Source organism: Homo sapiens, chromosome 15 (assembly GCF_000001405.40).
Source record: "Homo sapiens chromosome 15, GRCh38.p14 Primary Assembly".
In the NCBI taxonomy this organism is placed as follows: Eukaryota; Metazoa; Chordata; class Mammalia; order Primates; family Hominidae; genus Homo; species Homo sapiens.
In genome coordinates, this window is record NC_000015.10 from 32,441,914 (window position 1) to 32,462,909 (window position 20,996).

The 20,996-nt window shown below is 46.2% G+C and overlaps 1 protein-coding gene, 1 long non-coding RNA gene and 2 pseudogenes across 6 annotated transcripts in view, besides 1 other annotated feature; 1 reads left to right on the forward strand and 3 right to left on the reverse strand.

Moving 5' to 3' along the window:
- On the reverse strand, positions 1 to 20,071 carry GOLGA8O (golgin A8 family member O). Of its 5 annotated transcripts, none has more exons than XM_024450042.2 (19): positions 19,742 to 20,071; positions 11,790 to 11,909; positions 10,840 to 10,899; positions 10,578 to 10,658; positions 9,688 to 9,726; positions 9,378 to 9,425; positions 9,205 to 9,289; positions 9,000 to 9,109; positions 7,859 to 7,945; positions 7,645 to 7,752; positions 7,362 to 7,449; positions 6,729 to 6,985; positions 6,405 to 6,473; positions 5,084 to 5,159; positions 4,561 to 4,652; positions 3,885 to 3,985; positions 3,705 to 3,802; positions 3,454 to 3,609; positions 1 to 3,368 (listed from the first exon to the last, which is right to left on the reverse strand). In XM_024450042.2, exons 7-19 carry the CDS (start codon positions 9,230 to 9,232, stop codon positions 3,193 to 3,195), a joined length of 1,446 nt encoding a protein of 481 aa, XP_024305810.1. In that variant the 5' UTR covers positions 9,233 to 9,289; positions 9,378 to 9,425; positions 9,688 to 9,726; positions 10,578 to 10,658; positions 10,840 to 10,899; positions 11,790 to 11,909; positions 19,742 to 20,071; the 3' UTR covers positions 1 to 3,192. The 5 variants fall into 5 exon arrangements, with proteins under 5 accessions (XP_024305810.1, NP_001264237.1, XP_047288962.1 ...); NM_001277308.1 differs by lacking the exon at positions 19,742 to 20,071 and adding an exon at positions 13,576 to 13,721; XM_047433006.1 differs by lacking the exon at positions 19,742 to 20,071 and adding an exon at positions 12,821 to 12,990.
- Positions 4,743 to 5,244: an enhancer, noted in NCBI's record as "H3K4me1 hESC enhancer chr15:32738857-32739358 (GRCh37/hg19 assembly coordinates)". NCBI's record gives its function as "activates a minimal SCP1, AML or CMV promoter by ChIP-STARR-seq in naive H9 embryonic stem cells {active_cell/tissue: H9 hESC(naive)}" and the evidence as "EXISTENCE:reporter gene assay evidence [ECO:0000049][PMID:30033119]".
- RN7SL539P (RNA, 7SL, cytoplasmic 539, pseudogene) lies at positions 4,761 to 5,051 on the reverse strand (annotated as a pseudogene).
- Positions 13,001 to 13,524, reverse strand: LOC100289543 (uncharacterized; annotated as a pseudogene).
- The window catches only part of LOC124903456 (uncharacterized), an 11,925-nt gene continuing 5,539 nt past the window's right edge, over positions 14,611 to 20,996 (forward strand). Inside the window, exon 1 of the long non-coding RNA XR_007064570.1 lies at positions 14,611 to 18,611. This is a non-coding gene — a long non-coding RNA (uncharacterized LOC124903456). The remainder of the gene's footprint in view (positions 18,612 to 20,996) is intronic.

Sequence of the window (20,996 nt, forward strand, 5' to 3'; positions counted from 1 at the left end):
ACACATTGAAACAACTTAATAATTTATTACATTACAGTGGCATCACACCAGCAGTCAATAAGGCCACTCTAGGGAAAAATCTTTCAGTATTTCCACGACACATTCTCTTTACAATAATTCATAAACTGGTAAAATTCATTCTAAGAAAACTTGGCAAATAAAACTTTGGACTGGAATTGGCATTTCTTTCTCTGCTTTTCGTTCCCACCATTTCTTTCTTTTATACTACAGTATTCATATTTTAAAATGTTTTAAATTATTTCAGAACATTAAGATAGCAGTTACATTTTTTAATAGTTATATTATTTTAAAATAACTCTTTAAAATAAAGTTTTAGAGAAACTATATTATGGATAGGGCTGATTTACATTTTCAAATTTTCTAAAATCAGCTTTGGTTTTAGAGCTGATTTTTTTTTTCATTTCTGGAAAATTATCAGGTTTAATCAAATACTTTTAAAATGATTATTATACATTGCCATCTTTAAATAGGTATTTTGATTCTTCCTACAGAAATCAAAATGTATTCAGTGGAACTCACAGTTTAAAATTCTATGTTTCTGATGAACTCTAACATTCCAATGTTGCCTTCTAAGCAAACTGAAAGCTGCCTTATACTGAATGAGGAAGAGCACAAATACTCGGCTGAATGAGGTATCGCAAAAGACTGCATGCACTTTGGAGAAAGACTTGAGTTATTGTCATACAATTTCCATTCTTTTTAGCTTTTTCTTAAATATATGACAAATACCTACACAAAGAGTGGTATTTCAGTCAATATAGTAAATTTATTTTCCAGACTGACCTTCAGCTTAAATATGCCAGTGTGTGATTTAATCCATAGGCACCTCATGAACACATTATTGTCAGATTGGTTACAGATGCTAAACGCTATCCGAAGGTCATTCCTAGTCACTGATATTTATCAGGGTAAAAGTGAAGTGATTTCAACGATAAAAGTACCTTTGCAATAATTTATCAATGTATTAGATAAACCCAGTTTCAGAATGATAAAAGAAAAAACGTTAGACCAAATAATGTGGCTGATTAACAGTGGTCCGATTTCTAGCCCGAGGGTTTAAAATGCTCTTAAAGTAACTGTCTTTAAACTGAACTCAAAGAATGCAAAAGCGGCAAGTTCAGAAAATAAAAGGCGAGAACAGGACTTTAAGTGCATTTTAAACCCACGGGCTACAAATCGTACCACTGTTAATTAGCCGCATTATTTGGTCTAAGATTTTTTCTTTATCATTCTGAAACTGGGTTTATCTAATACATTGATACATTCATAAAATTTGGAAGAGTCAGTGGAAGTCACAAGGACCGAATATTTGCACTCTTTCAGTGAATGCCAGCAAATCTGTTATTCCATCGGTAAAATCGTATTGTTGCTCTCCTGTTAATGTCATATTTATAGAAGTATCATGAGGATGCCAAATGCTAAAAATGGAGATGATCTAGTAACTAGAAATCCCCACCGCAGGGAGCACACACACCTATCTCCCTGCATCCTAACAATGTGATGTGTTTTGGAACACAGACATTAGAACTTCATGAAGTTTTAACTGTTGAGTCTTTCCCAAGCATCATCAAGTTACGATTTAGGCAATACATAACTGAAATGCATTCATTCATCATGCATAGGCACAATCACATAAATATTGCACAAAATATGTCCCGAACAGAAACCCAGAGGTACAAAAACATATTTCACTTTGTAAAGAAGTTTGTGAGAAAATATAACTCTGTGGTTGTATAGACACGTTTCCTGATAATACATTGACATTCACGAACAACAGTAGATTGCACTGCAGTTTGTACACATTTTAAGTTTCATAAACTTCTCCTTGATTTTCAAAGATAGTATAATACCATCTACTAAAACTCCTTTTTGTTTCAACTATCTCACATATATTAGTTTATAAGAATGTTTCTATTTTTTTAAAGTGTTTTCCATTCAAAGAAAAAGAAGTAAATTCCTATGTCAGAGTAACCAAGGTGGTTGAAGAATAGGTATTAGCCAAAGAGGTCTAGATGGTAAAATCAATCTTCAAGCCTCAAAGAATCTCCGTGAACAGAGAGGAATGCCAGGAGTCACACAGCTTTCCTTCACTCTAATTCATTCTTGACTAGAGCCTGTATGCCTGTTCCAGGGACATTTGAACTCGTAAAGGATTTCTTATGATCTTCACTAAATACATTAAGAAGAATGCCAACCAGTGCCCTTTTGTGTACTGGGGCATGTAGTCATGTGATTAAAACAGGTAACATGAACTCTGACTTTAAAATGTATTGTAGATACAAATGCTCTAAGCTAGGAAAGGTTTTCCACATCCACAGTCAACGATGGGAACCTTTCATTCCTCAGAAATAAGCCCTTTTTAGGTCATCGAAAAAGAGTGCAACTGCTGCAGCTCATGATGCAATATCTTCATGAGCCCAGAGCACATACAAATCCTAAGGGCACCACCATAATACACCGCTAATTCCTGGCACCGGAAGAGATGAAACACACTCTATCTTGCACATACCTGCCAGAGGAGGCCACTTTCCTCTTCTGTGAGATTTAAAAAGCTCCCCCAAAAGGTTATCACTCCCATCACCAATACACAGAAAATGGAGGAAAGGCTGTTTCCAATTCTTGGCCTTTAAACAACTCTAAATGTCAGTACTCATAGTGGCGTATTACAAAGTAATAAACAGTGCACACTTGGGGGCAAACTACATATTGAGCTAAGGAAGAGCTCACTGTGATTAAGATTACATCAAACAACAGCAGAACATAGGCAAATTTTGTCTGAATGCTGTAGTGAATATACATGCTGCAATAACATTAAAAAAGCATGGCAGCCTATTCCAAACCAAAGAGAACAGTTTTGGGCAAAGAGTGGGTCTTTGTGTGTTTGAACTCCCACCACGTAAGGGCAAACTCGATATGCACGCTAATGACCTACAATTATGAAATTAAAAAAGAAAAATGCTAAAGGATGCCAGAGTGAACATCAGTGAGAGCCACAGACACCCACTCTCTTTTAACTTTTTACAAATAAACTTAAACTATAAATTAGAAACACAAATAATCATGAGTGAGTCTAACATTCAAAGGAAGTAAATGAATTGTGTAGGAGATTAACCCCATAACTTGGTTTCTTATTTAAAAATTTCTTGAGCAGCTGTTTGATGATGGTGATGTTTATCTCCTTCTTCTTGGCAGCCAAGCCCAACAAAATAATGGCACACAGCAGTTGCTGCCCAAGCCTGGGTGCTCCTGGTGGTCCTGCACGATCGGCTGTGCAGTAGGCTTGTCAAGGAGAGGATCCTCCCTGGCCTCTCCTTGGGCAGAGGAGGTGAGGGTCACCTCACGAAGATCTTTGGAGAGAGGGAGGCGGGGATCTGAGCACAGTGGGAGCCCCCCTCTTCCTGCCTACCCACCCCACCTGAGGGCTCTACTCACCACCATGCTTGTCTGCAGCCCCAAGCTCCTGGGGGGCTGGGGCTCCTGGACCGGGCTCATCAGCAGAGTTGTGGGCAGCGGCCAGGAATTTTCTGTGCCCATTGTTGTAGTTGCTGTAAGCCGCAATACCATCTGCTGCAGCTCCAGCAGCTTCACCTGGAGGGAGGGGTGCTCAGCTGCCATGCCGCTGCCTGCGCCCACCCTCACACCCACCCCCACCCCCACCCCCACAGAGATGTTGCACACCCTACCTTCATCTCCTCCCTGAGCTCCAGCCTGATGGTGTCCTCCTCCCAGTGCTGCATCTTTGGCACGGCCCCCTGGTTCTGATAAAAGGTGATGGATTTTCCTGCGGGAGGACAGGGCTCAGATTCTGGGGCCCCTCTGATGGCTCTGTAGCTCCCCCTGCCGTGCCCTGGCCTCCCACTCACTGATGGCATCTCTCTTGCCAGTATTGAATGAAGCGAAGTTCTTGTTTTTTCACCAGCTCACTCAGGTCTGCCTTCTCCTTCAGGTGGTCCATAAAGCTGCTCTGGAGACAAAATATTGCAGTCACATCTCGGCAGCGACCTGCCCTCAGGTGGCATTTTCAAGTCATGGAGAAGGCGGAGGTGAGTCCTGGCATGGGCCAGCTTCTCCGTGACTTCCTGCAGGGCCCAGTGGGTCTCCCCACTCACAGACTCGCCCCCAGGCCCTGGGGCTCCAGGGCCTCTGGCTGCCTCTGGCTCCTTCTGGGCCGAGGCCACCGGGTGAGCCAGGCGCTGGCAGCACACCCTCTGCTCTTTCACCTGCTCTTGTAACTGTGCCTGCTTCTCCTGGACACTAGCTCCAGCGGACTTGAAAAATGCCACCTGAGGGCAAGATGTGAGCATTCTTCTAGGGGCATACACAGAAGAAATGGGGCAGAGAGGTGGAGCGCAGCCCCTTCCCTTGGGGCCTCAGAGAGTGCACCTGTTGGCCACAGGTGAAATGGTGTCTGACCACTGGCTCTCGGAAGGGGTGAGGGTCCAGAGAAATCAGAAGGCAGGGAAACGAAGAGCATAAAGGGGTCTTGGAGGGACCACAGAGAAAGGTGGCAAAATGGGTGCAGGGGGGAGTCAGGCTCACCATGGCCTCCCTGCTCTCCGGGTCCTCTGGGACACTCGGCATGGGCCGAGGTGCCTCCTCCCCCTCACTGTCCAGATGTTCTCCTCCGTGTCCTGTGGGGGGTGGCCAGAGGGGTCTTCAGACAACCCAACAAGGGAGGTACTGTGGGCCCACCTCTACCTCCACCCTCACTGTGTAACCCTGAGCCAGCCCCTCCCCAGAGAGGAATGAGCTGTTGTTCTTTATTTTTACTTTTAAGAATCAAGATCTTGCTATTCCGCCCAGGCACACTCCCACTACTGGTCGATGTGGGAGTTCTGACCTGCTCCCTTTCTGACCTTGGCCAGTTCAGCCACCCTTAGGCAACTTGGTGACCGCCCGCTCACAGGAGGTCACCACACTGATGCCGAACTTAGTGCAGGCACCCGGTCGGCATAATGACCAGCTGCTCTAAAGGTCTCTTCCAACTCCTCAATCCTATGCTGCTAGCAGTCCCCCCTTCCTCCTGGGGCTCTCTCCTCTTCCTCTGAGCGGTCTCCCGTACCTTCCCCAGGGAGAGCCATGAGGCTCAGCTGGGCCGTTAGCTGCTGGTTCTGCTGGCTGGCCGCTTCCAGGTGCTCCTAAGGGGCCAGGAAAGAGTGAGAAGGGATGGAGTTTGCCAGGTCGTCCCCCTCACAGCCCCATCCTCGGCAGCTCCCTCCCCTGGGTCTCCTGCAACTTTTGGCAGGCCATCTCGGCCACTGCTTTGCCCCAAGCTTCCTACTGCTGCAGCTGGTTCATTAGCTGGGTCTGTTGCAGTCACTGCCTGTACAGCGCCTCCTTCTCACAGGTCAGCTGCTGATAGGCGGCCACCTGCTGCTGATAGGTGGCCACGTACTGCTGCAGGTGACCCAGGTAATGGTCTGGCTGCTGCTGCAGACTCTGAGCCTCTTGGCTCTTCAGCTCCACCTGCAGGAAGACCCTGGGTGTGAGGGCACGTGGTGGCTGGTTTCCAGATTCTGGGCCCATTAATAGGGTAGCGAGGGCACTGTGGGGCTCTGTCAGCTACCCAGGCCCCTGTCCCCTTACTCCAGGCCTAAGTGACTGCCTCCCTTTCCTAGAACCCCATGCCTCCTTCCCCAGCCTCAAATCTCATACCCTCTTCTCATTTAATCCTCAGCACCTCTGTAAGGAAAATGCTAACTTCCCTTTGAAGTTAAAGAAACAGAGACTTAGAGATGCAAAGTACTTGAATGGTGACCAGTGGAACCGAGGCTGGAATCCAGTTTCAATCTAAGGAGTCTTTTTGTTTTGTTTTCAGACAAGAGTGTCACTCTGTGGCCCAGGCTGGAGTGCAGTGGTGCAATCTCAGCTCACTGCAACCTCCACCTCCTGGGTTGAAGCAATTCTCGTGCCTCAGCCTCCCGAGTAGGTGGAATTACAGGCATGCGCCACAATGCCCTGCTAATTTTTTTTTTTTTTAATTTTAGTAGAGATGAGGTTTTACCACATTGGCCAGGTTGATCTCAAACTCCCGACCTCAAGTGATTCTTCTGCCTCAGCCTCCCAAAGTGCTGGGATTATAGGCATGAGCCACTGCACCTGGTATAAGGAGCCTGTTATAGCACTGTCTCTTCCCCTGTGATTGGGGGCTCCATGCCTCTAGCTGGGATGATGATGTCCAGACCTGAGAGGAGCCCAGGGCTACCCACCTTTAAAAGTCAGAGGCAGGAAGCGAGAAACAGTCGCAGGACTGCCCTGCGGGGTGCTGTGGTCACCAGCCCCCAGGCTGGAAGCTGCCTCTGACCTGGCACCTCCCCTCCCAAGAGGCTGCTGCCCGCCTCCCAGCCCTTCTTGGATGGGGTGGAGGTTTCCGTCTCCTTCACCTCGCCAAGCTTCTCCTGTAGCTCCTTTACTTGCTGCTCCAACTGCAGTGTGCTCTTGTTCTCATTGTTCTGGACAGAGAGAAGCAATCAGCAGCCACCCACTGCAGCTGGAGACCCCAGAACTTGGTGTCTGCCTCCCATGGCACTGGGAAGGCTGGAGGCAGGTTAGAAAAATCACCCCCTCTCTCCCACAGCCACCTGGCTCACAGGTGCCTTTAGAAGTAACCTTTCACGCGAGGGCTACACTGCCCCATTTTAGAGGTGGGGAAACAAAGGCCCGGAGGGCTAGGGAGGAGGGCAGGCTCCCCAGTTGGGGCAACGCACCAGCTCCTCGAAGACGCTCTGTGGCTTGGCCAGCTGCCGAAGCTTCTCGTGCTGCTCCTGAAGCCTCTCCTCCTGCTTCCGAAGCCTCTCTTCCTGTTCCCGAATCCTCTCTTCTTGTCGCCGGTTCAGGAGACTTATGTGCTGATTGTTTTTGACCTGGGACTGGAGCTCTCCTGCCACTCTCTCTAGTTCCTTCCTCAGGTGCTGCAGCTCCACCTCAGAGGGCACTGCTGGGGGCTCCGGGGGCAAGGGTTCAGCTGACAAAGGAAGCAGATAATAAGGGCCTCTGGATTCTCGGAAAAGAAAAACCCTCCTCTTGGCGCACAGCTCCTCTCAGGCTCCTCAAACTTGGCCTCACTGCTAATGATTCCTCGCACCCAGATGGTAGCCAGTCTTCCAAAGGACTTTCAGAGAAAGAGCACTGTGGGTGGCTGGCAACGGGCCCTCTTTGCTGATGGGGACACTGAGACACTGAGACTCATTGAGATGACAAGACTCGCCGTCTCCTGGCACAGATCTCTTTCCCTCTGCCTCAAAGCCCTTCCATCCACCCACCTCCCTGGGGCACTCTAAGCCACCCTCACAGCCCTCTGATGCCAGTCCTGCTCCCAGGTCATGCCAGCCCCATCTTACCCATCTGGTTTTTGAGTTTGGACAAGCTCCTCTCCAGCTCCTCTACCCGACGCATATCTTGCTGCTTCTCTTTCTTTAATGTGCAAATCTGCCCAAAGCACAAGGGGAAAGGGCCTTGGAGAGAGGGGCTGGAGGCTGGACAGGCTGCCCTCTCCCTCTCTGCCCCCACCTCCACAAAGCCCAGACCCATGACCACCTCTGGCTCTACTATTCCCATTTTACAGATGCCCAGAAAGATCCAGTGACCTATCTAATGTGGGGGGGCTGAAGGGTCAGATCTCACCTCCTGCGACATTTTACTCATCCTCTGATGCCACCGGGCCCTCTCTCCTTCTATATGTTCAGCACACTCATCTCTTTCTAATTGGAGTTGTTGAAATGACTCCTTCAACTGCAAGAATGGGCACAGAAGTTAGGAAGGGCTGTCACTGGTCCTCACCTGCTCCTGGCCACCTGGGGTCATCGTCCTTCCACATCCCTCCCTCGGAAAACCTCACCTGTGTCAGCTGCGCTTTCAGCAGTGCCTGGTCCTGTAGGGACTGCTCTAACTCCCACTCTGTATGTGCTTTGCTGCAGCTGGACAACTGGATGGTGAAGAGTGAGAAGTTTCAATCTGGAGAGCCTGGGCATTTCCACACAGTGCCCCTTAACAGGGCTAGGGCTAGGCCCAATATACAACTCGGTCAGTAAAGATCAAGGCATTTCCAAGCCCGTGGTCTGGTTTTTAAAAGAACACAGTAAAGTTGGAACGGACAGGGAATGAGACTGAGTTTATAGCTGGCTAACAGAGGCCCAGAGAGATCAGATAATATTGCTATTGTTATTATTGTCATTATTACCACTGTTTGAACCTTTGTGGAATGCTTCACCAGGTACCGTGCTAACAATCCCATTTAATCCTCGCAACCACCATAGGAGACAGTTACTATGATTCCCTCTATTGTGGAGATGAAAAAACATGGAGTATTTGAGGTTAAGTGCTTGCCTAAGTTCACTTAGGCAGAGCTGGGATATAAACACCCAGGTCTATCCAATTCTCTAAGCCCATTTTTCTTGCTGGGGATGGGGGCACAGATAGGAAGGGGAAAATTAATCTTTTGTTCACTTTTTGACAGGATGATACATTCACATAGTCCAAAACTCAGAAGGTACAGAAGGGAAGTATCTCCCAGCCATCTTGTTCTCTCTCCTGAATTTTTTATGAACCCTTGCAGACATGTTTTATGTATATTATCACAGTATGTACACACACACACACACACACACACACACACACATGCACGCGTTTCCTCTTTCTACAGAAATGGTAACATACTAAAGGTACTCTTCTGTACCTTCACAGTACAAGTACCCAATACCCCACCTAGGACTTGCCCAAGACCACAGCCAGGTAAGGGCGGGGCAGGCACTTGGCCTCCAAGCTCTGCGTCCAGTGCTCACTCCCCACAGTACCCCCCAACTCACCCACAGCAGCTGACTCGGCCCCAGGCTGCCACTAAAAACCATACAAAAAAGTAGCAAGAAATGGCCATGCTGCCTTCTGGGCAGGACACGCCATCCTGCAGAAGGGACCTTTAGGCTCACTCCTCCATCTGCAAAACCAGGCTCCCAGGGGATGGGGCAGGTGGCTGGACTCACCTGGTTTGCCTTCTTCTTCTCTGTGGCGATGACAGCAGACAGAGCGCTCTCTAACTCTCCTTTACACTGCAATGAATGTTGCAGGCGGACAGCCAGGTCCTTGGACTCTTCTGTAATGAGAGAGTTGAGATGGGGCCCAAAGGACTCCTCCTGAAGACCTGTCAAAGTGCCAGGTTGAAGGATGACAGGGTGCCCAGATTCCCACCTTCAAAGTATCTGAGAGAACGTTCCATGTGGTACAGGTCCGTATTTAGTTCCTCTTTCTGTATGATCAATGTCTGGATTTGAACCTTTGGGAGAAAAGCCAAGCAAGTGCTGAAAGAGAAGGAAAGAAACATTCTCCGGAGGACAGGAGGAAACTGCACACCCTCCACTCACCTCTAGCTCCCTTTCGGCTTTCTGTCTCTCGTTGTTTGCTTTCTTTTCCTGTAGGAAGAGGAAGACAGAGCTCTTACCAGGGGGAGGCAGAGATGGCACAGCAAGAGACATGCCCCCAGAATGCCACCAATGCCCCAGGACAGGCCCACCCATGGGACCAGGTTATCAGGGGCCCTGTGGGGATGGGGTGGAATCTGAGGGGTGAGCCTTCTTCCCCAAGCTGGGAGTGGGTGAGACGAGACTGGGGCCTGTATGTCTGAGTGCCCCCCAAACCCAGCAGTCATGTCGCGAGGAAACGAAATCACGTTACTTCTTCCAGCTGATGTTCCACTTGTTTCTTCTGTTGTTTCTGTGGGGAGAGTCAAATAAGGTGATGGAGGGTGGCCCCCTCAACTCTATTCCCCAGATCAGGAAGCGGTAGGCAGGGGCCAGGAATGGATTTTAAAGGCAAAGTTCTCAGACATAATGGGAACACGAACCGGTAAACTCTCCTCAAGCTCCCAAGGACAGAGGATTTGGGTCTTTGTTGGCTTTTGCCCACAGCCACAGAACTCAGTCTGAATCTGGAATCTCTTGAGAGGACAGCAACATAAACCTCTAGAGATGGAGTTTCAGAAAGGCCCCTCCTTCTGGCAGCTTGTGATTTAGAAAAGTGGGTTCATTCAATAAACACTTACTGAGCACGTATGGGCCAGGTACGGTTCTTCACAGCAGATATAGGATGGAAAAGGACAGACAGGAGCCCTTAGCCCTGAGGTTTCCATTCCCGGGGGCCTTTAAATCTCAGACTCGAGAGCTAACAGAGACCTTTGATACTCACTACCTCCTCTGGAAACACGAGCCCAAAAAGGAGAGGTGGCTTGTCCAGAATCAAAGAGCAAATTAGGGACTGAGTCATGGCAGAAATACGGGGCCCTTGACAACCAGTCAGGCTAGCACTTCCCCAAGAGGCAACAACCCCAGGGCGTGTGTAGCAAGGACTCGAGCAGGGGTGTCTGGAGAGGAGAGAGTCGGCAAAGAGGGCAGCAAAAGAAGAGCTATGCTGCATGCTCTGGGGTCCCTCCAGGTGAGGCCTGGGCACCCAAGCTCCCTATTTGTCCCGGGCACCAGGGACCCCCAGCCCCTTTCTTCAGGGCCCCAAGGGGAAACTGGAGCCCAGGATTGGCAGCGTGGAATCAGGGGACCCCACCGGACTCTTACCAAAGATTTGATGGTGTTCTTCAGTCGACTGATTTTTACGGACGTTGAATCCAGGACTACTGCTCGTTCTTGGCACGGGCTCTGAGGTGCATGCAGAGAGGAGGAGGTGGAGCAGGAGTGGGGGGAGAGGTAGAGAGAATGATCGTTAGGGCTGGGGTGTGTGGGCTGTCTCAGCTGGCAGAGGGGCACCCAGTCCCACCTGGAGGAGGAGGTTGGAGGGTTGACCCGAAGGGTCACTGCACCTCCGCCCAGAGCCTCTTACCTCCAGATCTTTCAGGGTAGCAGATGATGTAGGGCCTTCCCTGTGGAAACCTGTTGCTGACTACAAGAGATGAGAGTGCACATGGAGATGTTCTGTCCCCCACAGTGTCTGAGCCCTCTGACTTCCTTTCTTCCCCATCAACTGCAACATTTTCTTTTCTGCCTATCTTGGACCTTTTGTCCCATAACTCCTTTGTGCCAACTTCTCTCATGGTTCTTATCTCCCCACCATCCCATCCTGGGGCCCCTTCAGTGACTCCTGATGGCAAGTGGCTGTTCTCTTTGTCCTGGTTTCCCCTTGAGACTGGGGATGAGGAAAATCAAACCATATCCTGGGTGTCCTGAGTGTTTACAGCAGGCCATGTACTAGGGATTAACATAAAAACAACAATAACAAATCTCATTTAAACTTCACAAATGGAAGTGAAACAATAACACCTCTATTATACAGATGTGAAAAGAGAGGCCCAATGAGGTCTAGCAACTTGCCCTAAATCATATCCCTAGCAGAGCAGATGGAGAGGCAGGATTCAAACCCAGAATTCCTTTTTTTTTTTTTTTGAGACAGAGTCTTGCTCTTTCACCAGGCTGGAGTGCGGTGGCATAATCTTGGCCACTGCAAGCTCCACCTCCCAGGTTCACACCATTCTCTTGCCTCAGCCTTCTGAGTAGCTGGGACTACAGGCACACGCCACCACGCGTGGCTAATGTTTTTGTATTTTTAGTAGAGACAGGGTTTCACCGTGTTAACCAGGATGGTCTCGATCTCCTGACCTCATGATCCGCCTGTCTTGGCCTCCCAATGTGCTAGGATTACAGGCATGGGCCACCACACCCGGCTAAAGCCAGAATTCTTAACCAGTACCCAGCAGTCCATCCACAATCTTAAGAATTACCCTCTATTGCCCCTTGGGCCCCCTGTCCCCAGAAGCCTGGTCAGCCAAGACTCACATCCCCAGGTGGCTGGCAACCACCGGAAGTGGCTGTCTCAGGGATACTGCCATTTGTTTTCCTGTTCCTGTTCACTCCTGCTGGAACTCTAGGTCTGTTTTTCTGCCAATATTCTTTTAACTGTTGGAAAGAAGAGCAGTAATATTCATGAGAACCGTCAGCCCCTACAGCCACAACCTCCTTTACAGTTTTTACAAAATACACTTACACACCATCTGATTTAATGACACCAACAACTGTACAAGGTGTTGTCACACTCATTTAGTGACTGAGAAGGATTGATATCATGGCTAGAAAAAAAAAAGAAAAAGGCAATACTGGAACTTTGAGACTCAGTCTTCTGACTCCAAGCTCTGAGGTTTTGCCAAGAATCAGCAGCTGCCAGGGACCAAAACCAGAGGCAGAGGTAGAAAAGTAAACATTAAGTAGGCAGGAACTGTATGCCATGTGGTTTAGTCATACATCCTCACACGTCTGTTAGTGTGAAGAAGTGCACCAGTACCTCTCAAACTTTTATATCAATGTGTCCTCATGGCAGAAGGCAGCCTTTCTCTTAAATCAGAATTTATCAGAAAGAGGACAACCCAAGCCTCATTTCAGAGAGAGGTCTGGTATACTCTTAGAAACCTATGTGACTGTCCTCCCTAAGTACATTCATGTTTTTTCTCTTGATCTCAAGAGAATCAAGGGAAACTGATGCTTCAGAAAGATGTCCCACATTTATCCTGTGGCACTCAAAGTACCCAAGGTTGAGATAATATGAGGAAGATTCAAGGTGTCAAGTTCAGTTTCCCAAGTTCTATTCCACAGAAGATGAGCAAATCTCACTTCAGAGACCACTGACTGAAGGAGAGTCTGGTCCCAGAACCATGGAGAATTAGAATATGAGGTGGAGAACTCAGAAAAAAATGTTAAAATCTCTCTGGAAAGTAGAAGCCTGGGAGAAAACCAAATCAAACCCATTCTCTCATTGCCACCCAGAGATACTGTCAATGTTTTGAGTTCATGGGGGAAGTGTAGGCTTTTCCCACCGTCAACATCTGTAAGGGAGTGAGGCAGCCTGGAACCTCTTGCTCCTAGGTCCCATAGTCTCCATTCCCCTTCCAGCTGGAAATTTGTGCTGTGACCAGAGGAACCAGAAACGGGGTGAGAACGCTTAGGGGACTGGGTCGTAAGGTCAAAGGCCAGTCTTGCAGTAACGGCAGTTACTAGGTGGACTGTGACATCACAACATTCCACTCCTCCTGGTCGGGGGGAGGGACCATGTCAGCACCATGTCCAAGTCGCTGCTCCACGATGGGGGAGGGAAGCACAGGGTTGGGACCCAGCTCCTTGGAGACGCCAGCACAAAGAACCCAGGGAGGTCGACCTTGAGGCAGCAGGAGGGGAGGGCACAGTCTGCAGCAGGGAGTCCCAGGAGTCACCAGCCCAAAGTCACCCAAGGATGACTGGCGAGGGTGGGGCCTGGCTCCTTGGAGATGAGAGCCCAAAGAGCCCACGGAGATCAAGCTTGGGGCGGCAGGAGATGACAGCCCAGTAATGGAGCGGGAAGCCCCAGGAGTCACCCACCCAAAGTCACCCTGGGGTGATTGGCGAGGGCAAGGACTGGGCTGCTTTCTGAAGGGGTGGGGCTGACTGACAAAACTTTGGTGGGGGTAGCCCAAGGCACCGGGGTTGGGGGGACCAGTCCAGTGTGCCTCAGGAGTCATATAGACTCTGGCAGGGGTCTTGTCATCAGAGGGGATCTGTGGCTGGGTTGAGGGGCTATGACCTAGTGCGTTTTTACCTTTTTCTTGGCTGCAGCCAATTTGTTGTGTTGAGTTTCTTCTGCCATTGCAGGGTGGGGAGGGAGGAAGGGTTGGGGCCACAGCAGCAAAATCCCAATAAGAACCGATCAAGGCCTCCAGTCACCTACCAGGCAGCTGTGTGACTGAGCCAGAGGAGGCGTAACCAGGGCCCCAGTAGAATGCGGAATAGGGGCGTGGCCTTAATGCTCCAAGCCCATTGGTCAATGAGAAAGATGAAAGGGAAAGGGGGCGTGGCCAGACAGCAGCGTGTCCAGAGGGCCCTGTGGCTCACAAGGAAAGCTGCCCATGGCAACCGCTCTCCCCACCCACTCTAAGAGAGGGGAGAGGCCTCCCACTCTGGAAGAGAAGAGGGGCTGGCTTTTGCTTTAAAAGCTTTAAAACTTTAAAAAATATATGTGTGTATACTTTATATATATGTGTGTCCATGTGTGTGTATCTATGTTTTTCTCCATAGCTGTCTTCATTATCCAGCTTCTATGCAAGGTCTATGATTTTGGCCTATATTTTTCATCTTTGATTACAGTACAAAAATTACCAGTATTACCTTAACTGAGATACAGATCCTATAAAAATGGAAAATGCATAGCATGCTTGATGATTAATGAAGCAGACTATATTATCCAACATTCTAATAAGATAAAATAATCACAATGATTTCTCTTTTTTGGAAAAATGTTTCTCTTATTCTCCTACGTTTTCGTTAAGATTTTTTTTCTTAAACAAGAAACATGTCTAATATCTGTAAAAGCACAAAGCTTTTGGGCTGGGTGCAGTGGCTCATGCCTGTAATTCCAGGACTTTGAGAGCCCAAGGTGGGTGGATCATGAGGTCAGGAGATCGAGACCATCCTGGCTAACACGGTGAAACCCCATCTCTACTAAAAATACAAAAAAGGCCGGATGTGGTGGCAGGCAGCTGTAGTCTCAGCTACTTGGGAGGCTGAGGCAGGAGAATGACATGAACCCCCGAGGTGGAGCTTGCAGTGAGCCAAGATCATGCCACTGCACTCCAGCCTGGGCTACAGAGCAAGACTCCATCTCAATTAATTAATTAATTAATTAATTAATTAAAATAAAAAATTAATAGTAAGAGCAATGTGAACAAAAGATGCAATAAAATAATTTAGAAAATACAAACTATTAAAAAATAGATTTTAAAACTTGTGCAACGAAGTCAAACAGCAGCCAACGAAAATGTATACCCTTACACGTTTGTTTAAAAAGCAATTTAAATTACATTGATCCACTAAACTAGGAAAAGCAAAACAAACAAAAAGGGGGAAATAATTAAGACCTAAGGAAAAAGAAAAACCACTAGATTTAAAAAATAAAACTAAAGGAGGATTCTTTCAAAAGACTGAGATAATAAAACAGTCAAGCCTCTGATAAGTAATCAAGATAAAGAAAACTTTGAAGAGAAAAGGGCATATAGCCACATGTGAATATGATGCAAAAAGTGAAAACTTTACACATCTTTACAACACCTTAGAAGTATGGATGACATGTTCATTTTTTTTTTTTTTTTTTTTTGAGACGGAGTCTCGCTCTGTCACCCACGCTGGAGTGCAGTGGCGTGATCTTGGCTCACTGCAAGCTCCGCCTCCTGGGTTCACAACATTCTCCTGCCTCAACCTCCCGAGTAGCTGGGACTACAAGCGCCCGCCACCACGCCTGGCTAATTTTTTGTATTTTGGCTTAGTAGAGACAGGGTTTCACCATGTTAGCCAGGATGGTCTCTATCTCCTGACCTCGTGATCCACCCGCCTCGGCCTCCCAAAGTGCTGGGATTACAGACATGAGCCATCGCACCCATCCAAAGTGTTCATTTTTTTTTAAGAACCTACAGTTACGAAAAGTAACTGAAGAAGTGGGAAATCTGGAGACCAATATGCAGAAGAAGGAAAAAGACAAAGACTCATCCTCCAAATTGGATATTTAAACCAGAATTTGTCATCCTCAGCAATATTGATATATTGGGCCAGATAATTCTTTGTGGAGGGTTCTCTTGGTGTGTTGTCGGGCATTTAGTAACATTCCCTCTACCCACAGAATGCCAATGAGACCTCCCGACCATGACCAGTTGTGACCACAAAAATGTCTCCAGATATTTCCAAACGTCCCATAGGAGGCAAAATACTCCTGCAGTTGAAAATTACTGTGTAAACCAGATCTACATCCTAGATCTTAGAAAAAAGATGTAAAGCTTCCCAACTCAGCCCTGCATGCCCTTGATACTGAAATAACAGCCTTAAAGGAAACAAACAAAACTATAATCTTATTTAATACAGAAGTAAAAATGCAAAAATAAAATATTACCATAGCCATTCTAACAGTGTTTATTATAGGAATGCAAAGATAATTCAAAATTAGGAAAATTTCATCAGGCAATTCACAAATTATATTTCTACATATAATTGAAGGCACAATCATGAAAAACAAAGTAGCTCTATATGCATTAAGTCCATGATCTATTCAGTGAAAAACACAAGTTGCACATGTCTTACAGAAGGAAAACTTAACACTGAACACAGATTCTCACCATCTGCTCTTTGTCCTGAGGCTCCAATAGAAATACAGTGAAGAATAAACATTGTATAAGCACACCATTACAAAAAAGGAATGGGGTTACCAACAGAAGAGAATTCATCTTCATTAGACAATGACAGTACATGGAAAATGGTTAATTCATGGAGCAAAGCAACAAAGGTGGAGGTCAGGGGGATACTGAGAACAAGGAGGCTAATCTGTCCCACAGCAACCTGGAAAGGTTCTAGACTCAGACACGAGGTACCCCCGACAGTGGGACTGATAGGCAAGACTGAAAACAGAGATTAAGCAAAAGCCCGGATAGAGAACACATTTCACAGGCCCTGAAACACACTGCTAGCCCCATCTCCTTAAACAGAACCCAAGCAAACGTATCCACCTCAGGCAAGAGAATGTAGATTTTACATCCAGAGGAATGGAGTAGTCATCCAGCCATCATTTATGATTGCAACAGGAGACAAGATAGAGGGATGGAGGATAACAATTAGGAATCAGCATACATTCCCCTTAAAGCTATCAGTTGACAAGTCTTGGCCACAAAGAACTCCCAATCAATTTTTATTTATTTTTATTTTTATTTATTTATTTATTTATTTATTTTGAGACAGGGTCTTGCTCTTTCGCCCAGGTTGGAATGCAGGAATGCAGTGGCATGATCAGAGCTCACTGCAGCCTCAACCTCCTGGGCTCAAGCAATCCTCCTGCCTCAGCCTCCCACGTAGCTGGGACTGCAGATGGGTGTCACCACACCTAGCTATTTTTTTTTTTTTTGTAAAGATGGGGTCTCACTATGTTGCCCAAACTAGTCTTGAGCTCCTGGGCTCAAGTGATCCTCCCACTTCGGTCTCCCAAAGCACTGAGATTATAGGTGTGAGCCACCACACCTCGGCTCCCAGTCTTTTAGTACCTCTCTCAAATATGAATGAACAAATAAAGGAATGGAAAAAAGACTACAGGTCAGGCACGGTGGCTCATGTCTGTAATCCCGCACTTTGGGAGGCCGAGGTGGGTGGATCACCTGAGGTTGGGAGTTCCAGACCAGACTGACCAACATGGAGAAATCCCATCTCTACTAAAAATACACAAATTAGCTGGGTGTGGCAGCACATGCCTGTAATCCCAGCTACTTGGGAGGCTGAGGCAGGAGAACTGCTTGAACCTTGGAGGCAGAGGTTGTGGTGAGCCAAGATCACATCATTGTACTCCAGCCTAGGCAACAAGAGCGAAACTGGGTCTCAAAAAAAAAAAAAAAAAGACTACAAATGATAAGCAACATAGAATAGATATTTAAGGAAAGGCTTTAAAAAGAAAAATAAGACCAAAATAAACTAAGAAAAAGATTATTAAAGAACAAGGAGATGCCAGGGAGAAGACAAAGAGTATCAAAATCACTTCATAAAGACACTTGTGAATATATTACATGTATAAAACAAAACAATATGAATAAGAAATAATCAGAGAAGAAAAAGTTCTTAGAACTCATGCTCCATCTTGGGAGTTGGTCTCCAATGAGCCATACCTCCTGTCATCATGTCCTCAGACAGGCCCATCCCATAGTCAATCTGGGTTGGCCCCAACACTCACTTTAACCTATAGCATGTGGTAGAAATGACACTGGACCTGTTCCAGGTCTAAGCCTTAAGAACTCCTGGCAGCTCCATTTCTGTGCTTCTGGAAGCCAAAAATAAGAATTGGCTACCTTCTTGGAGAAAGGAAAGCCACATGAAGAGATCCGAGAGGATGAGATGCTATGCAGAGAGAAAGGCCACATCAAGAATTACCAAGGCAGCAGACCTGTGGGTAAAGAAGCCGTCTCAGACATTCCACTGCAGCTGAGCATCCAGATGACCAGTCCCTGACACTGTTTAACCACACAGTGAGAGCTGCCAAATGAGACCAGCAGAAAAACTGTCCAGCTAGCCCCAGGTAATCCATACAGTCGTGACAGATAGACAGATGTGTAGTTTTAGGCCATTAAGTTTTGGGATAATTGGTTAAGCAACAATAAATAACCGAAACAAAACTTAAAGTTATGACAGTCCAAATAAAATTTCCTGAAAGTCGAAAGATAAGAAAATATTCCAGAACTGAAAATTTAAAAAACATTTAGAAATAACGTGAGATATAAGACTCAAGACAAGAGGTCTAAAATCCAATTAACAGACACTTCCAAATGAACAAATAAAATGGAAAAGAGAAAGTTAACAACAAAAATATGACAAGATTCAAGACTCCAACTTTGAAAGAGCCTATCCATAGGCCTGTTCATTTGGTGTACCCAGCATAATGAATGAAAAAAGACCCACACTAAGTACACTGTTGTGCTATTTCAGCTCACCAAGGAAAAGACAAACTCCTAAAAGCTTCCAGGGAGAAAGTCATGCATAAACAAGTGAAACTCAGGATGGCATGAGGCTTCGCCACCACGACTGGTTAGAAGACAACAGCACAGACTTTGAAATTCTAAGGTAAAATTATCCTCAACCTAGAAATACATAATCAAGCAAACTATCAATCAAGTGTGAGGGTAGAATATGAGAGACGTGAATACTGATGGGGATGTGATATGCAGCAGGCACTGTTCTAAATGGTTTACATGTACCAACCCAATTAAGAAACTTAAAATACACACGCGCACACACACACACACACGCACACACACACACACACAGTTTTTCCTGCTAATCATTTTACGATGAAACAGCCAAGTAGCTAACCCAGAGCCCACAAAGGCAGAGTAAAAATTCTAACACTTGGTAAAATAAAAATGCACATATACCCTGTGATCTAAAAAAAAAAATGCTTAAATATTCAAAGACAGACAGCAATTACAGCTACTGAGAACATCACTGTAAGCAAACTGAGGCAGAGAAAACAAAGGTGCTAATGAGGATTTGAACCACCTAACATGCAGAAACCCACTGGATGCTTTCCTAGGTTCCGAGCTGGCATTGTCTTTCAGAATGATCTAGAAGAGGTCACATGACACTGTTACAAAGGATCTAGAGAAAGGGACCCTTGCTTTATCACTCCGGCTCTCCAGTCATGCTTCACATTTTCACTTCTTACACTCTTTCACATGAAGTCAATTTACAGACCTCCATCATGCCCTTAGAGACCTTTTTGTAATATTCTGACAAGTTCTGGATGTCATCTCTGCACTTTTGACAAATTCTTAGCAGTTAACGTACAAGGCAGTTAACATTTTTGTTCACGGTATAGCTAGAAAAGGGTCATATACTCAATAAAACAAATATTTACCAAGCATTCATTGAGTGGAAGATAAAACGCACAAAGCATAATTATAAAATATTCTCCCCTGCCATGATACAACAAAATTTTTAAAGGCTTACAGAATATAGCATAACATGACCAAAGCAAAAATAGTAAGGACTAAAGAGGGGAGGAAGGGAAAATATCAGCATGAACTGAATATGACCCAGAAGAGTCTTGATGGTCAGACATGTAAAGATGTATTGGGCAGGGTTAAGGGGTGGAAGTCAGGGGCACAGGTCAGGGGCACATTCTACAAGGGAAAAACAGCTGATACAGAAGCCTGAAAGGTAAAGTGGGCAGAGCACCTGTACAGGACTCTTACCTGCCACAGCGAGGGCACAATGCGCCTTTCCAGAACACAGCAGCGCGCAGCCAGGCCTGGGGCAGAGGGATCACTCAAACAGCACCAGAGGCTGCATTCCTACTTTTCTTCCGTCAACAAGTCCATTTTCGTTGTTAGTTTCTCCTTCAACACAAACTTAAAAACAAATGGCTGAACACGCAGGAACAAGGAAAACCTGACTGAAGAATGAGACGTTAAAACTTAAGGGCCTTGGGTCCTGGCACGGTGGCTCACGCCTGGAATCCCAGCACTTTGGGAGGCAGAGGTGGGTCATTTGAGGTCAGGAGTTCAAGACCAGCCTGGCCAACACGGTGAAACCCCGTCTCTACTAAAAACACAAAAGCTAGCCAGGCGTGGTGGCCGGCGCCTGTAATTTCAGCTACTCGGGAGGCTGAGGCAGGAGAATCACTTTAACCAGTGGACTGTCAAGAGAGGTAGGCTGCAGTGAACCGAGATAGCGCCACTGCACTCCAGCCTGGGCTACACAGTGAGACTCTGTCTCAAAAAAAAAAAAAAAGAAGTCATGGTCATGGTAAAAAACCTATGGCTTTGGAAGGCTTTCTCGGTAACGTCCTAGAATTAAGGTTAAGCCTGCGTTTCCTGTTAACTGAACAGGAAACCAGCCTGACCAACATCCTTCTGCCCGGTGGCTTGCTCTCAGCTCCTCTTCGTTGGGCCTTGGGCAGCCAGACTGTCTAGTTTTAATCCTTGCTCTGCCACCTGTGACCTTGGACAAGTTACCTACCTTCAGTTACCTCATCTACAAAATGCAGATATTAATAATACCCTCTTTTTAATTTATCCAGAGGATTAAAAGAGTTAATAAAAAGTAAAAAATAAAAAGACTTGGTAAGCATAGGCACAGAGGAAAAAAAAGTAAAAATAAATAATTAAATAAAAAGACCAGTGCCTAGCACATAAAAGTTCATCAGGAATTAATTCTATAATATGAACTCAATTTTGCAAAACTTCAAAGTACGTACAACTTTTAACTTACTAGGGTATACATACCAGTAATAAATTCACAACGGTAGACATGTTTGCCTACTGTAAATATAACAAAGACTAAACAAGCAGATACTAAATCATTAAGCAATTATCAGTATCTTTAATTTTCTTATACTTCTATATTTTCTATAGATCATCTTTGTAACAAGAAGAAAACCAACCAAATGAAAATGAAATGAATTCTCTCAAAAAGAATTAAGTCAAGACAGGAAGAAGGCTCGCAAAG